Genomic DNA, 16,169 nt, shown 5'->3' on the forward strand with positions numbered 1-16,169 from the left:
TGTTTTTCCTTTCACTTTTTTCTGTATTTTCCAGACTGCCTTTAATAAGCACTAATTCTTTTATAATAAAAAGGACATTAAAATATTTCTTCAAGTAACTCTATCAGATGAAATATTAAAGAGCTTTGAAGCTCAAAAATATGAGGACATGGGAAGTGAGACTACAGCTGCTTCAAAAAGTCCAGTCTTGCTGGACCAGACCAATTAACCCTGGGAATTCAAAGAATTTGAGATCTGATTGCAGAGCATAGAAAAAAATCTGAGTACAATAATAGTACACTTATATAACACTCCTATGTGCCAGGCCCTATTCTAATGCTTTATGTATACTAACTCATTTGATCCTCATAACCCCACAAAATAATATTATTATGATCCTCATTTTACACATGAAAGAAACCCAGATTTCAGAGAAGTGACTTGCCCAAGGCCACAGCCAATAAATGACAGAGGCAGGATTAGAACCCAGGAATCTGGCTCCAGAGTGCACTTTTCTAATCTTAAGGAGAAAGAAGCATGGTGCTAGAATACTAAAGATAAGCAAAAGCTGCTCAGATTTTCACAAGGGAAAATAAAAACAGTCAATTTAGACAACTACAACTTGTTGAAATTAAAAAAAAATCCACAGTAAATGGATAGTCTTCAGAGGTACGTCAGTTAGCCCCACCCTATTAAACATTACGTCAGTCACTTAGATGAAAGACTAGAGGCACAATAACAGAAAAAACTGATTTTACACAAATCAGTTATACAAAACTGAGTTGTCAATAAATATTGAGATAATCTATCATGATTCAAAAAGATATCCTGAAGCCAGAACAATGGGCTAATCCAAACAAGATTAAACTATATGAAAAGAAATGCAAAGTTCTGCTTCGAGATTCAAAACTCAACTGTACAAGTATGGAATGGAAAGAGAACATCTGAACCACTTTTCAGTTCAGTATGAGTCAGCCTATGACTAGTAGAAGCACTTATTTCTAAAAGTACAATACTCGTATCAGGGAAAGTGATTGTTTCAATTAATTTTGCGCTACCAAACCACACAACAAAATTCAGCCTGGGAAAGGAAATAGAAATCACAACATGATAATATAAATGTAGCTAGGGGAAAAAGAAAAAAAAAGTTTTGCTCAGAAAAGAGAAGGAAATATCAAGATTTTGTAGCTATCTTCAAATAATTTTTAAAATGTCATCTGGGAGAGGCATAAGACTTGATTTTCTGTGGTTCTGAGAGCAGAAATACGTGGGAATTAGGAAATAACACAGCTCAGTAAAAGGACAGGTTTTTCCAATAAACTATAGCTATCTACAAATGGAATAATCATTACTAAAAGTGTTTGAGCAAACGTTGAACAGAGATGACAAAGTAAGTACTACCCTTAGTAAGAAGCTGAACTGGAGGTCACAATTTATACAGTACCTCCAAGAAGTTTTTGTTTCTTATCTGTATGCATAAGGAATTAGTATCATTTGCAAGGAGAGAAAAAATAAGAGACTGCATACTTCAGATTTTTTAAGAGAAATTTATTGTCTAACAAGAAGCATGTATTTTCATCTATCAACCTGAAACTCACAGATTACCTCATTCCAGTTTAAAATAACCATTTTAAAATATACTCCCCAATTCTACTTTTAGGAGTGTTTTACAGAAGCACACTGTGCAGACACATATAAAAATATTCACTTGCCATTTACAATATAAAAAATTGAGAACTTAAATATCATTTTATAGTGAACTGTTTAAATAATGCTATCTCCAAAAATTGAGTAATTAGTCAGACTTTCAACAGTATGATGAACATCAATATACAGTGCTACAGTGTCAATTTATTCGTGTGTAAATTTATAATGGTGAAAATATACTCAACAAAAAATGTTTTAAAATATTATCTCTAGATGGCAGATTTCAAGGAGTAATCTGCTTCTTTATGTTTTATTACAGGTGCTCAATTTTCTACTAAGGTTATGTAGTATCTTTATAAACAGAAAAAGAAGTATTTTTAACCTTTAGGAAATTCTTTTGGCTTCTGGATTTTTTCCAGTATTTTGAAGTGTTTCCTCAGAAAAGATTCGCAGAAGTAATATTAGTTCAAGAGGTAAGGCCATTTATAAAAACACTTTAGAGTTTATATTAAGCCCATTATGATTATACAATTACCAATGGTTAAAAATGTTTATCAAAGTATTCTAATACAAATTCAGAGCTAAGAAAATCTGTTGAAAACATTTTCTAAAAGGCATGGTGGGGGAGGGGGAGAAAAAAGATTTATACTGTAGCAGTATTAAAAAGAAAAAAGTGGCCAGGGCAGTGGCTCACACCTGTAATCCTTGCACTTTGGGAGGCTGAGGCGGGCAGATCACATGAAGTCAGGAGTTCGAGACCAGCCTGGCCAATGTGGTGAAACCCCTTCTCTACTAAAAATACAAAAATTAACCAGGTATGGTAGCATGTGCCTGTAATCCCAGCTACTTGGGAGGCTGAGGCAGGAGAATCGCTTGAACCCAGGAGGTGGAGGTTACAGTGAGCCGAGATTGCACCATTGCACTCCAGCCTGGGCAGCAAGAGCAAAACTCCATCTCAAAAAAAAAAAAAAGAAAGACGTATATCTCTAAGTGCTAATAAGGAAAGATGGCCACAGTACAATGATAAATGAAAAGAGCAAGGTACAGAGCTATATGTATGTTATCTCATCTTTGTTTTAAAAAACAAAAAACAAAAACCTTCTACTTTATATGTTCACATGGACAAAGAAATGAATTTAGGAGCCTTTACATCAAGCAGTTAATAGTAACATCTGAATAGTGGGAATAGTGGTAGAGAAAAGGGATAATTCGGCCGGGCGCGGTGGCTCATGCCTGTAATCCCAGCACTTTGGGAGACCAAGATGGGCAGATCATGAGGTCAGGAGTTCAAGACTAGCCTAGCCAACATGGTGAAACCCCGTCTCTACTAAAAATACAAAAATTAGCTGGGCATGGTGGCAGATGCCTGTAGTCCCAGCCACTCGGGAGGCTGAGGCAGGAGAATTGCTTGAACCCGGGAGGCAGAGGTTGCAGTGAGCCAAGATCGAGCCACTGCACTCCAGCCTGAGTGACAGAGCAAGGCTCCATCTCAGCGGGGCCAGGGGCAGGGCGGGGGAAGGAAAGGGATAATTCACTTTTACCATACAAACTTCTGTTCTGCTTATGTTTTTTCAAATGTAACAAGCATATTTTACTTGGGTCAACATTTTGAATCACTAAATATCCTTTAAAATAACAAAAATAAGGATTTGTACATGCATGTTTCACACACAATTTCTAGTCTAGGACCTCTTAGGAGTTTTTTAATTCTTAAATCTTCACTAACACGGAAACATGAGGTTAACAAGTCAACTTTATATATGTTTAGCCTCTGAGCAAACCTATTCAAGTGTGAATTTTATTCCAGGCATTAAATCAATGAGCCACAGTTACAGATAAGAGGGCATATTTTTCCAAACTTATGTTCTCCAAAACAACATGTCCTTTTCAAAATATACATTCCATAGTCGTTTTTATAGCACCAATGTGCTAGACACTACATAAGACTGCATAAAATTTGGCAACATTTACTTAGCACTTCAAGTAAAGGGAACTAATAGGCAATCACATTTTCCTTTCATTTCACACGATTATCCACATATACTTTTCTGGTTAAAAAACATATTAAATGTAGAAAACATTAAGTAGAGACTCTGCCTTTTCAACCATCTTTGTTTCATTTATTGTCATCTGGGTATTAACTGGAAAAACAACTTGGTTGCTTCTGTTACATATTTTTGCAGAACAGTTTCCCAAGCTTTTTTTAGAGAGAATAAAACTACAGGAAGGGTGCAGTGGCTCACACCTATAATCCCAGCACTTTGGGAGGCCAAGGCAGGGGAATCACCTGAGGTTAGGAGTTTGAGACCAGTCTGGCCAACATGGTGGAACCCCGTCTCTACTAAAAACACAAAAAATTAGCCGGGCATGGTGGCAGGCTACTCGGGAGGCTGAGGCAGGAGAATCACTTGAACCCGGGAGGCAGAGGTTGCGGTGAGCCGAGAACGCGCCATTGCACTCCAGCCTGGGCAACAAGAGCGTAAATCCATCCCCAAAACAAAACAAAACAAAAACACCACAACTACAAACCTCCTCCCAAGTTATGGAGCCACAGCCCTAATCATAGCCTCAAGCAGCAACTGCTTCAGGTCCTTAAATTATCCACTTAATTCTAATGTGAAAACCATTCTCTTTGTCATATGGCAACTTAGAGTCAACATTTTTATATTCAAAGTCTTTAACTGAGAAAACTAAGCACTAGAAACTTTCCTCTCCTTGTTTCTTGCTGCCAGGCAAGCAGAAACAAACCTAGAAATGTGTTTAAAAGTAGAACGGTGTCAGCAGTGAATGGCTGACTAACGTCCACTGCTGAAGAGCCTCTTGTGATGTGTAAAATAGAACATCGTGAAATCTTAGAAATTGTTCAAGCCAACCCCTCACTTTATGCAATTGGGACTGAATGTCCCAGAGGAGGGCCCTGGTCTGCCCAAGGTCACAAAGTTAGTTACTGGCAGAGCCAAGTTTAGAACTTCAGGTGTTTTTATCTTTCAGCCACTACTCTCTCCACCTCCTGCTTCTTTAAAAAGATGGGAACAATGGGATCAGAGACCACAGAAAAAACAAATCTATTACTACTGCAAAAAACTAAATGGTCTTCAAATTCTCCACCAAGTCTAAATTAACAGAATGAGGAAGATCAGAATGCCCCCCAACAGAGAGGAATGGTGGAGCAGGGCACGCCATCAGCTTTTTCAAATTTACCTTGCACAGCTCCACCATGGGAAGATGCCAAGAACTGAGTAACATGTGAACCTGGTGCAACAGCTGATTTTTTTTTTAGGTGTTCTGAAATCACTTACTAAGTCAGTGCAATCTCCTAACATATTTGAAACTGCTGAAAAAGAATTACTCATCCCATAAATGATTAGTGTTTCACTTGTAAGAAGCACGGAGTTTTAGGAGACTGAAGAAATCTACAAGTGACATGAAGAGGAACTGAACTGGAAAGAAAAACTAGTGACGAAGAAAAACATAGGTCCAGGCCAGGCGCAGTAGCTCATGCCTGTAATCCCAGCACTTTGGGAGGCCAAGGAAGGTGGATCACCTGAGGTCAGGAGTTCAAGACCAGCCTGGCCAACATGGTGAAACCCCGTCTCTATTAAAAATAACACAAAAATTAGCCGGGCGTGGTGGGTGCCTGTAATCCCAGCTACTTGGGAGGCTGAAGCAGAATTGCTTGAACCGGGGAGGCAGAGCTTGCAGTGAGCTGAGATCACACCATTGCACTCCAGCCTGGGCAACAAGAGCAAAACTCCGTCTCAAAATATAAGAAGAAAAAAGAAAAACATAGGTCCCAAAGACACTAAAAAGGAAAATTGATGGGACCTGGAAAACTGCATAGATATAAAAATAAAAGGGAAGAAAGAAGAGGGACGAATAAGGTTTCTAGATGACTAGAATGCTGATATTTTTCTGATTTTTTCCTAGTAACTGGAATCTTTTTTTTTTTTTTTTTTTTTTTTTTAAGACAGAGTCTCACTCTGTTGCCCAGGCTGGAGTGCAATGGCGCGACCTGGGCTCATTACAACCTCTGCCTCCCGGTTTCAAGCAATTCTCCTGCCTCAGCCTCCAGAGTAGCTGGGATTATGGAGTCGGCCGTCACACCCGGCTAATTTTTGTATTTTTAGTAGAGACGGGGTTTCACCATGTTGGCCAGGCTGGTCTCGAACTCCTGACCTCAGGTGATCTGCCTGCCTCGGCTTCCCAAAGTGCTGGGATTACAGGTGTGAGCAACCGCACCTGGCCTACAATCCACTAAAAATAATTAAACACAATGTATTAGGGAAAACTTTTTAAAAATCCTTATTGAAGGTTACTACAGAGTTTTGATAACAGCAGGACTTCAACTGCTGCTAGGTCTATTGAATGCCATTTACTGACAGCATCAACAGTTCTCTGAATTAGTTTTCTCACATATGAAATCCCTCCCTCCTAGCTCATAAGACATTGAGAGAATGAAATAACACCCATGTAAAAGAACCTAATCTAGTGCCTGGGACATGGCAGATGCTCAAAAGTTGGATCTTAAATGGATGAACTGTCAAGTCATCAAAACAGGGATTCGCTTAAAGGTAACTTTTCTCTCTGCCTCTCTCATCTATACTGCTCTTCAGCAGCAGGCTCATGGTTAAAGTAGCCTAGAAAGCATAAAGACCATGTTCTATAACCAGACAGCCCTGCTTGGGCTCATAAAGCCAAACCGCTGTGAACTGTGGGATGGAAAAGGTCCAGAGTGGGCCTCCTGCCCAGTCACATAACCTACTTTCACTTAATGCCAGGCCTTAATCTGCACTTTCTTTCTTATTTTAAAAGACTGGGGGTGGGGGAGGTCTCACTATGTTGCCCAGGCTGGTCTCAAACTCCTGGGCTCAGACAATCCTCCTCCCTCGGCCTCCCAAAGTGCTGGGGTTACATTAAGCCACTGTGCCTGGCCTTTAATCAGCACTTTTTTTTTTCTTTTTTTTTGAGACAGGGTATTGCTCTGTCACCTAGGCTGGAGTGTACTGGCACAATCTCAACTCACTGCAACCTCCAACTCTTGGGTTCAAGAGATTGCCTCAGCCTCCCGAGTAGCTGGGACCACAGGTGTGCGCCACCATGCCTGGCTAATTTTTTGTATTTTTAGTAGAGACGGGGTTTTACCATGTTGGCCAGGCTGATCTCGAACTCCTGGCCTCAAGTGATTCACCTGTGTGGGCCTCCCAAAGTGCTGGGACTACAGGCGTGGGCAACCCCACCTGGCCTTAATCAGCACTTTTGGATAAGAGCAAGGACTCCTTGTCTTCTCAAGTACACCTCACCCCCATCCAACCATCCATCCTTAAGTGCTGCTTGAGCAGAATGCAATTCCATGCCTTGTTTTTCTTAAACTCAGATTGACCTGAAGGTTCTTTCAAATTTAGCCCTTCTACCACTCCCTACTCACAAATACTTAACTCATACTTTTATGTTGAGTTTGTTTTTTTTTAACCCTCTCTCTTTTTCCTTGCTCCCAACACTTGAGCCAAACAGCTGAATTTCAAGGTTTTTTTGGTTTTTTTTTGAGACGGAATTTCACGCTTGTCACCCAGAATGGAGTGCAGTGGTGCAATCTTGGCTCACTCCAACCTCTGCCTCCCGGGTTCAAGTGATTCTTCTGCCTCAGCCTCCCAAATAGTTGGGATTACAGGTGCCCACCACCACACCCAGCTAATTTTTTTTTTTTTGTATTTTTGGTAGAGACGGGGTTTCACCATGTTGGCCAGGCTGGTCTTGAACTCCTAACCTCAGGTGATCCACCCGCCTCGACCTCCCAAAGTGCTGGGATTACAGGCGTGAGCCACCGCGCCCGGCCAATTTCAAGCTTTTAAAAAATCATTAATTAGTTTGACCTTCTTTCTCCCACTCCCAGGTCTAATCAGTGTTGGCCCCTACTTCTCTTCCACTCATCCACAACCCACAAATGAAATACAAAGATGAGGGTTTATCTTCAGTAAAAAGATACTCAAAGGTATACGCCGAGCTGTGGATGTTTCTTTACAAGTGCTCAACTCTTTCCACTGAGTATCTGAGAGAGACTGGTAGAAATGCCTCATAATCATGCCAAATTACTTAGGTATTCAACTTCTTACTCTAGCATGAAAATATACTATTTACATGTGGCAGGCCTTTCTTTTCTACTTTCCTATAGTTTGATGGATATGCTCCTTGAGCAGTATCAACAGTCAAAAATGTTAGCAGAATCTATAAATGTGTCTTTGACAAAACTGAATTTCTTCAGGAAAATAACCAAGCTTATTTTTCTTAGAACATAGTGTTCTGCCTTCTAGCTAAGAAGCATTCGATCCACTTAACTGAATTGTGAAACTGCAAGATAAAGGATAAAGAGCGCTGAACTGGGCCTCCATAAAAGTGAACCACAGATTTGCTCATGAGCTGTGTGACTTTGGACCAATCACATTCTCTGGGCCTGTGGCCCACAACGGATGAGTCATGAACATTTATCTGTATGTCTGTCATCTCCATTAGAATATGTTCATATAGGATTATATGTACCGTGAAGACGGGACCTGTATCTTAGTCCTTTTTTAAACCTCTCACAAAGCCCAACACCTAACATATGCTCGATCAACTTTAAACATGAACCAAGAGGTGGTATTGAGGGAACAAGAGAAGAAGGGTGTTTTGGGTCATTCATCACTCTGCCAATAACCTCAGGCAAGCCAAAACACCGCTAGACAGATAAGGGGAATTAATATTTTCCAACTTAATGACGTCAAGGTACACTGAACTTTATTTCACTGACAAAAGAAGTGAATCAATTTGTAAATGGTACTGTTTATGAATCAATTGGCATTCTTACGCACTAAATCTCCACTTGTTTTTAACAGTCTCCAGTTAAATATGTGGATAATTAACTAGTCCACAATATAGTCTGAGTTAGGAATTGTGTCACTAGATTACCTTTGAAATCTTTCCAATTCTAAAGCTCCCTGGTTTTGTAAGAGTAAGCTCAGGTTAATCCAAGCATCACAAATCTACGTCTCTCCCCTTCACGCGGTCAGCTGCTTTACTCCAGGCGGGAGGAGGTGTGCTGTGGTACACCAGTCCCTGCACAACAAAAGCAGTTACCTAAAAGTAAAGCGTGGAGAGGAAGAAGCACAGGCAGCTCAGCACCCAGTGCCTTGCACAAATTATACAGGAATCACCTGAACTGAGAGGCAGCACCAGCCAGTGAAGCAAGCTTTGTTTTAGGACTTGTAAGAAATCTAAGACACCCAAACCCCTCTTTGTCCCTAAGTAGCCCTAGCCTGGTAAGAGGTCACCTTTCCTATCTGCAGGATGGCAAGTTGGCCTAGAATCTCTAAGGTCCCTTCCAGCTCTGACATTCAGATGCGCAGAACTGAGGGTGGCCGAAGCACCCCCGCCCTCTCCAACCAGAAGTAAAACCAAGCCCCACTGCCATGCTCTGAGGCCTCTCTCTGCAAAGCGAAATAACGATTCTCAATCCAGGGCACTGTCCCCCTAAGAGGGCCTATTAGGATTGAAACAAGGCGAAAAGCAGGGAGGCTGTTTCAAATCACGCCCGCCCCCTTTTTGGAAGAATGTCCGCCAAATTCCTGAGGTGTGAGAAGGAAAGCGGAGACGGACGGTCACTGCAGCACAGGTGTGGCCCCTCGTCGCCCCTGCACCGGGAGGAACAGCTGCAGGATTGCACCCCAGAGCGCCGGGACCACGGGCGGGGGACGGGGGCGGACTGCCGCTCACTCACCCACAGGCTGCTGAAGTAGTCCAGCCCGCGGCAGATGAGCGTGGCAGCGTGCACCAGCAGCACCTGCACGCCCAAGTAGCTGCCGAGGCAGTAGAGGCCGTACAGGAGCGGGCCGCCGGCGCCGAGCAGCAGGAGCAGGCGGCGGCGGCGCAGCGCCTGCTCGCCCAGGGCCTCGACGCCGTAGTCGACGAAGCAGAGCGGCAGGAGCAGCGCGGCCAGGACGATGGGCGTGTGCGCGCGGTGCAGGCGCTGCAGCCAGTGGCGGCCCAGGCGCGTCAGCGAGCTCTTGAAGGGGTGCAGAAAAGTGCCGCATAGCACGGCCCAGAGCAGCGGCCGCAGGAAGGCCTCCAGGATGAAGTAGACCAGCACCGCGGCGCCGCAGCACAGGCACACGAACAGCACGGCCCCGGTGTTGTAGAAGGCCTGCTTAATGGGCTTGTCGAAGCGCAGCGCCAGCGCCGCGGTCCGCGGGGTCTCCCCGCCACCGCCACTCGGCCCGACCGCGCGCGGGACCCGCGGCGCCGGCCCGGGAGAGCTCCGCAGGCTTGGCGCGTCCTTAGGGCCGCCGCCGTCGGCCATCGTTCCTCCGCCACAGCCGCCCCCGAGGGGCGGTAATGGGAGTCGGGCTAGAAACGCGGGCGGGAGGCAGGGCGGGAGGCGCGCGAGATTGTGGGAGTTGTAGTTCCCCGCTGGTTTACAGACCCACCAAGCGCTTGCAGGAAACTACAACTCCCGAAGGGGAAATGGGGAAAACGCCTCCGCCTCCTTGGTGTCCGCAAGGTCCTGCTAACAAGTTTGCAGGGTCTATATCTTCCTGGAGGGGGGGGGGGGGGGAAGCTCCTTTCACTCATTCGTTAATGTCAATTTCTCGCGAGGCGAGATCCCAAAAGGCGCCACATTCAGATATTAAAACCCAAGCTGCATACTAGAATACCGTGGGGGAGTACTTTTAAAGAACCAATGCCCCGATTCTGTTTTACTGATTTATTTAACAGATATTTTTAAAGTGTTTTCTTTGGTGTATCTGACAGGATTTTAAATAGAGATTACCATATAACAGGCCCTATTCTAAGTGGCTCACTCCTATTAACTCATTTAATCCTTAGAACAACCCTACAAAGAAGGTGTTATTATCCTCATTTTACCAACAGAAAAACTGAGACAGAGCCGTTAAGTACGCAGCCAGAGTCACACAGCTACCAAGTGGCACAGGCAAGATTCAAACTCAGGGATTCTGGCTCCAAAGGCTATACTTTTATCTACCATAGTATTTGGCCTGAGGAAAGAACTCTTGGCATTTTTCAAACGTTCCTCATAAGCCTGTAATTTGCAGCCGCTGTTGACAACTGTTTGTGCAGGTTTCGCTGTGGACGCAATCTAAACTCTTAAAAGAGTCGTAGATCAAAGTCTCAAACTGCCACTGTTTCTTTTTGAGACTTGATGTAATGTCAGTTAAGCCCCCAATCTCAAGTTTTCCTCTGTCACATGGCGATGATAATAATAATAGCTTTTGCTTTAGGGTTATTGTGTGGGGGAAGGGAAACTCTGGGGCGGTACAAGGTGCTTCTGTTCCCCTATTGGAAAAGTGCTGGGATCCAAGCCTGCTACCCATAAAATATCCCAATCAACATTTTGATTTAAAAAAAAAAAGAAAGCCTTGACTGAGTACTCAACATGTGATTGCTTCAAACCTTGCAAGTTGTCCCTTTCCTGTTTCAATAGTATTCCTATTAATTTCTACATAATTTTTGTTTCCCTTCTAAAGCAGACAAGACAGGTAACATAATCCACAGTTTGCAGATAAAGAAACTATTGCTTGATAGATTTGGAGACAAAGGGATTTAGTAAAGGAAGTAAAGGAAAAAGTAATTCCCTATCCATCTCGATTGTAAGTTTTAGGTCTCAGTATTTCAGATGGCCTTTGGAGTTTTATAACCAAAACGCAGGTTTAGTCGCTCACCACTTGCAGATTCCAATTAACAAGAGCAAGGTCTGGTATAAAGAAAGTGATGTATTCCAAAGCTAGCTTAGGGGAAGAAGTACAGGTTTCCTCCCTAAGGCTACTGCTTCAATTGTGGAGCAGAAAGCAGGCACTTTTAAAGCGAAGGAAGCAAGCAGTTGTCGGGGGAGGGGTCTGCATGCCTTATCTACTGGGTGGTCAAGCTGGTGACTGCTGGCACCTTCGTTGGCAGGACTAAGCCAAAAACCCCTCAGATGGAAGAGAGTTTCATATTTCTCAAGGCAGTCTCCCGGTGGGAGGGAGTTTTGTAGAAATTGGATGTTATCTCTTGAGTTCCTTTCTGGAGCTCCTAAGCACATAGTTAGATGAACTTGCCCTGTAGGGACTGTCTGGTGAAGACAACGTAAAAGGCTATATTTACCTTTATTAAATTATTTATTTATTTATGAGACGGAGTCTCGCTCTTGTCACCCAGGCCAGAGTGCAATGGTGCGATCTCGGCTCACTGCAACCTCCATTTCCTGGCTTCAAGAGATTTTCCTGCCTCAGCCTCCCAAATAGCTGGAATTACACGTACCCCCCACCATGCCCGGCTAATTTTTTTTTTTTTACGAGGTTTCACCATGTTGAACAGGCTGGTCTCGAACTCCTGACCTCAGGTGATCCACCCACCTCAGCCTCCCAAAGTGCTGGGATTACAGGCGTGAGCCACCGCACCTGGCCTACATTTGCCTTTTTAAAGGGCTAAGTAGGAAGGGAGAAACTGGGGGAGTGAGAAAAGAAGAGAGAAAGAAAAAATAAACTCTGTCTCAGAAAAAATGAGGGTACTCAGTTACAGTTTGACTCTGTAAATATTTTTCTTTCAGTTGTTCCTACATTGTACTTTGCTTCTTTATTTGTTCAGGCTTTCTGGGATTATGATTACAAAGTATGGTCACATTTGCCTTCAGTCCATGTTACACTGACTTAAGCTCCCATCTACATAATAGCAAAGGCCTCAACCTCCTTCCTAAAAAGTCCTTGGTGATTTCTATGGGGGGGTCCCAAAAGGGGTACCTCACATATACCCAGAGACATGAGTCAGCTGCTACCAACCACCCTGCTGCCCACACAGCTCACTGAGTCTAGTGCCCATCGGAAGATTTCCAGTGCCTGTATCATTATCCCCAAATCCTACATACTCCCAAACTTCTAACCCTCAAGGTACCAAAACAGAGCTGGGTTTAATCCTGATAAGGGGAAGAAGTCTTTCTCCCTCACTTGACAAATATTTTGTCACCCAAGCCCTAAAGCAGGTCAGTGTGCCAATGTTTTAGTTTTTAGTTTTTTGGGTTTTTTTTTTTTTTTTTTTTTTTTTTTGAGATGGAGTCTTGCTCTGTCACCCAGGCTGGAGTGCAGTGATGCAATCTCAGCTCACTGCAACATCCGCCTCCTGGGTTCAAGCGATTCTCCAGCCTCAGCCTCCGGAGTAGCTGGGATTACAGGCACACACGACCACACCTGGCTAATTTTTTGTGTTTTTAGTAGAGACGGGGTTTCACTATGTTGACCAGGCTGGTCTTGAACTCCTGACCTCAAGTGATCCACCTACCCCAGCCTCCCAAAGTACTGGGATTACAGGCATGAGCCACAGTGCCCCGCCAATGCCCAGTGTTTATAACTCCTCTCGTGAATAGTTCCTTCCATGTCTGGACTTCAGTCCTCTAACCACATGGGTTCAAAACCCTTCCAATGGGTCAGTGAGGGAACAAAGACTGAACCCTCCTCTCTGTCCTACTCCAACCAAAGACTCTCTTCCTCTAGTTACAAAATGAGAGCTCCCAAGTTACGCAACAGAAGCATTTATCAGTGGATGCAAGCCGAAACGGGACAGGACATGGGGTGTTAATCCTGCCTAAATTGTGTTGGGCCACAGTTTAGCAACAACTCAGCAAATCAAAAAAATGCCCTGTCATGGTGCTTTGCTTCCAAGTCTCAGTGAAAGTGAAAATTGCTGAACATTTCAAGATTGTTCTAATGGCCAAAGCCGTAGGACTGACAGGTGTCACTCAGCATTTCTAGTCAATGGAACTCTAACAGAAATGAAGGCTGAAGCACTAGAATCTAACTAGACTAGTCTTTATGTGGCCTAGCACAAGGCTGGGTTCACACAGGGTTTCACTCACCCCTCCTGTGATTGTCCTCACCACACTGCAGTCAAAGTTAGTGGTTTCTGTGTCTGTCTCCCTACAGAGCCCCTTGAGAGCAGGGACTGGGCTTTCTTCATTTCCGTGGGCCCAGCACCTGGCACAGCATAGGACGTACTGAGTAGGAGCTAAGTGTTTGCTGAGCAAAAGAATGAATGAGTGGCGTCCTTTCAAAAAAAGCCTGTCTGTGCTTCCTGCGAGAGATGAAATTGAAAGCTGGGGATGTTTCTACTGAGCATCCATGTGGTTGAGAACAGAGAAAAATTAAAATACTGGAACATAGGACCTAAAAACTAAATTTGAGAAAGAAGCCCATTGTCCACTCAAATCTCAAGGTCATATGATTTTAGGTGTCTCCTCCAAAATACGAGGCTACTTGGGTTCTCTCTGTTGACCTTAACATGACAACTCACTCCAACAACCTCAGGGACAAACAGCCTCCATCGGCACGCAGGATACAGTAGAAGTGAAAGACATTCAGAGTCGTGGATCAAGCTGACCCTGGAGACCACACTGCCTCTTGCTTTCCAGTTGCATGAATGAATGAATTTTGTAATCATTTAAGCCAGTTTTGGTTAGGCTTCTATTACTTGAAACAGAAAGCTTCCTGATTTATAAAAATGGTTGCTGTGAAGGTGAAATAAGAAAGTATGTATAAAAGCAGCAGCACAGTGTCTCTGACATGGTGAGAATCTGACAGTGACTCTTGGGGTAACTCTTACTTTTGTCCTAGAAAAGATAAGGGGTATCTCTTAAACAACTGATACTCCCAAGGTATCAAGATAACATCCACCAGAGATATTACAAACACAGGCAGGGAGACGATTCTCCAGCATTGTGTCTGTTTTAGAGCTCTCCAAGTGTATCCACAAACATTTACTAAGGTGTGCTGAGTATCTGCTTTGTACAAAGTCCAGTGCTTACAATGTGGTATGTGCGTTGTGTGTAAGGTAGTATGTACAATGCAGAAGAAGTGATCATGTGAAAATGAAATCAGGGTGACATGCATTCAGATTCCAAATCTGCCACTTATTATCTGTATAATCCTGGACAAGTTACATAGCATCTCTGAGCTCAGTTTCCTCAGCTATAAATGGTGCATGATCCTTGTTCATAAGGTGGCAGTAAAGATTAAATTGGAGAATAACATATATTAAACACCCAGAGGCCAGGCGCGGTGGCTCACACCTGTAATCCCAGCACTTTGGGAGGCCAAGGCAGGCGGATCACCTGAAGTCAGGAGTTCAAGACCAGCCTGGCCAACATGGTGAAGCCCCATCTCTACTAAAAATACAAAAATTAGCCAGGCATGGTAGTGGGCGCCTGTAATCCCAGGTACTCAGGAAGCTGAGGCAGGAGAATCGCTTGATCCTGGGAGATAGAGGTTGCAGTGAGCTGAGATCACACCACTGCACTCCAGCCTGGGCGACAGAGCAAGGCTCTACCCAGGACATTGTGGTATCTCTCCATGGTCCAGGGCCACCACTTTGCGCAATTCCAGGGATACAATTCACATTTGGGGGCACTATTTACATTTGGCATCCCGTACAGATGTGCAACAACTGCCAAGAGCACATTGAGCTCCTTAGACCAACAACCATACATTGGACATCTCTTCTATCTTCATAGGACCAGCCTTCCAGATATATAACTCTCCTCTTGCCTATCTGGATAATTCCCATTCATCTTTCAAGCCTCAGCTCAAAATCATCTCCTTTGTGGAATTTTCCTGATCCAGGGAAACTTAGCAGCTACCTTTACTGTGTAGCACTTACAGCTATCTCTTCTCAAGTACCAACCACATTATATTGTAATCATTTTCACAAATATCTGAATTCCCCATTGGATCAAAAGTCATCGATAAGCTTTTTTGCATTTGCTCCAGTACTTTGCACACTTTTTTTTAATAATTAAAAAAAGTGAGTAGACACCATATTATTGTAGAGGCTGCAGGATGTGCTGGAAAGAACACAAGCTTTTAAGGCAGACAGATTTGGATTATAATCCTGGCTCTACTGCTTTCTTGCTGTATACCCTTGGATAAATTAACTTACTGAGAATGTTTCCTCATTTGTACAAGAGAGATAAGAAATCTACATTGCAGAGCTGTTGTGAGGACTAGAACTAGTTTATGTAAATAACTAATATGGTACTTGGCCACAGAGTAGTCATTACTTACCTTCCCTTGGGCTGCTTTATACACAGCACTTAGCTGCCATGAACTGAACCCAGCTATGATGGTTACTTTACAATAGAAATTCAAACAGTGACTACTGGAATAGTTATAACAAGGTCTTTTATTACAATTACTATAAACCAAGGCTGGCAATTGCATGGCATGTGAATTACTACTTTCCTTTGCTAAGTCCATGGCAAACATTATTAATCTATCACTGAACTATCACTGAATTCTTTCTCTTTTTTTTTTTTTTTTTTGAGACAGAGTGTCACTCTGTCACCCAGGCTGGAGTGCAGTGGCACGATCTCAGCTCACTGCAACCTCCGCCTCCCAGGCTCAAGCAGTCCTCCCACCCCAACCTCCCTAGTAGCTGGAACCACAGGCACATGCCACCACGTTTGGCTAATTTTTTTTGTATTTTTGGTAGAGACAGGTTTTGGCCATGTTGCCCATGTTGGTCTCGAGTTC

The 16,169-nt window shown here is 43.5% G+C and overlaps 1 protein-coding gene across 11 annotated transcripts in view, besides 4 other annotated features; it reads right to left on the reverse strand.

Moving 5' to 3' along the window:
* The window catches only part of TMEM245 (transmembrane protein 245), a 104,813-nt gene extending 94,824 nt beyond the window's left edge, over nt 1–9,989 (reverse strand). For all 11 annotated transcript variants that reach the window (NM_001438169.1, NM_001438166.1, NM_001438172.1 and 8 more), the window contains exon 1: nt 9,377–9,989. In NM_001438169.1, the coding sequence (NP_001425098.1) occupies nt 9,377–9,955 (579 nt within the window). In that variant the 5' untranslated portion in view covers nt 9,956–9,989. The remainder of the gene's footprint in view (nt 1–9,376) is intronic.
* Nucleotides 9,319–9,428: a silencer, noted in NCBI's record as "silent region_20162". NCBI's record gives its function as "represses an Ori minimal core promoter by ATAC-STARR-seq in GM12878 lymphoblastoid cells {active_cell/tissue: GM12878}" and the evidence as "EXISTENCE:reporter gene assay evidence [ECO:0000049][PMID:35858748]".
* Nucleotides 9,619–9,668: an enhancer, noted in NCBI's record as "active region_28758". NCBI's record gives its function as "activates an Ori minimal core promoter by ATAC-STARR-seq in GM12878 lymphoblastoid cells {active_cell/tissue: GM12878}" and the evidence as "EXISTENCE:reporter gene assay evidence [ECO:0000049][PMID:35858748]".
* Nucleotides 9,779–9,948: a silencer, noted in NCBI's record as "silent region_20163". NCBI's record gives its function as "represses an Ori minimal core promoter by ATAC-STARR-seq in GM12878 lymphoblastoid cells {active_cell/tissue: GM12878}" and the evidence as "EXISTENCE:reporter gene assay evidence [ECO:0000049][PMID:35858748]".
* Nucleotides 10,089–10,138: a silencer, noted in NCBI's record as "silent region_20164". NCBI's record gives its function as "represses an Ori minimal core promoter by ATAC-STARR-seq in GM12878 lymphoblastoid cells {active_cell/tissue: GM12878}" and the evidence as "EXISTENCE:reporter gene assay evidence [ECO:0000049][PMID:35858748]".

The sequence above is a fragment of the Homo sapiens genome, chromosome 9 (assembly GCF_000001405.40).
Source record: "Homo sapiens chromosome 9, GRCh38.p14 Primary Assembly".
Taxonomy (NCBI): domain Eukaryota; kingdom Metazoa; phylum Chordata; class Mammalia; order Primates; family Hominidae; genus Homo; species Homo sapiens.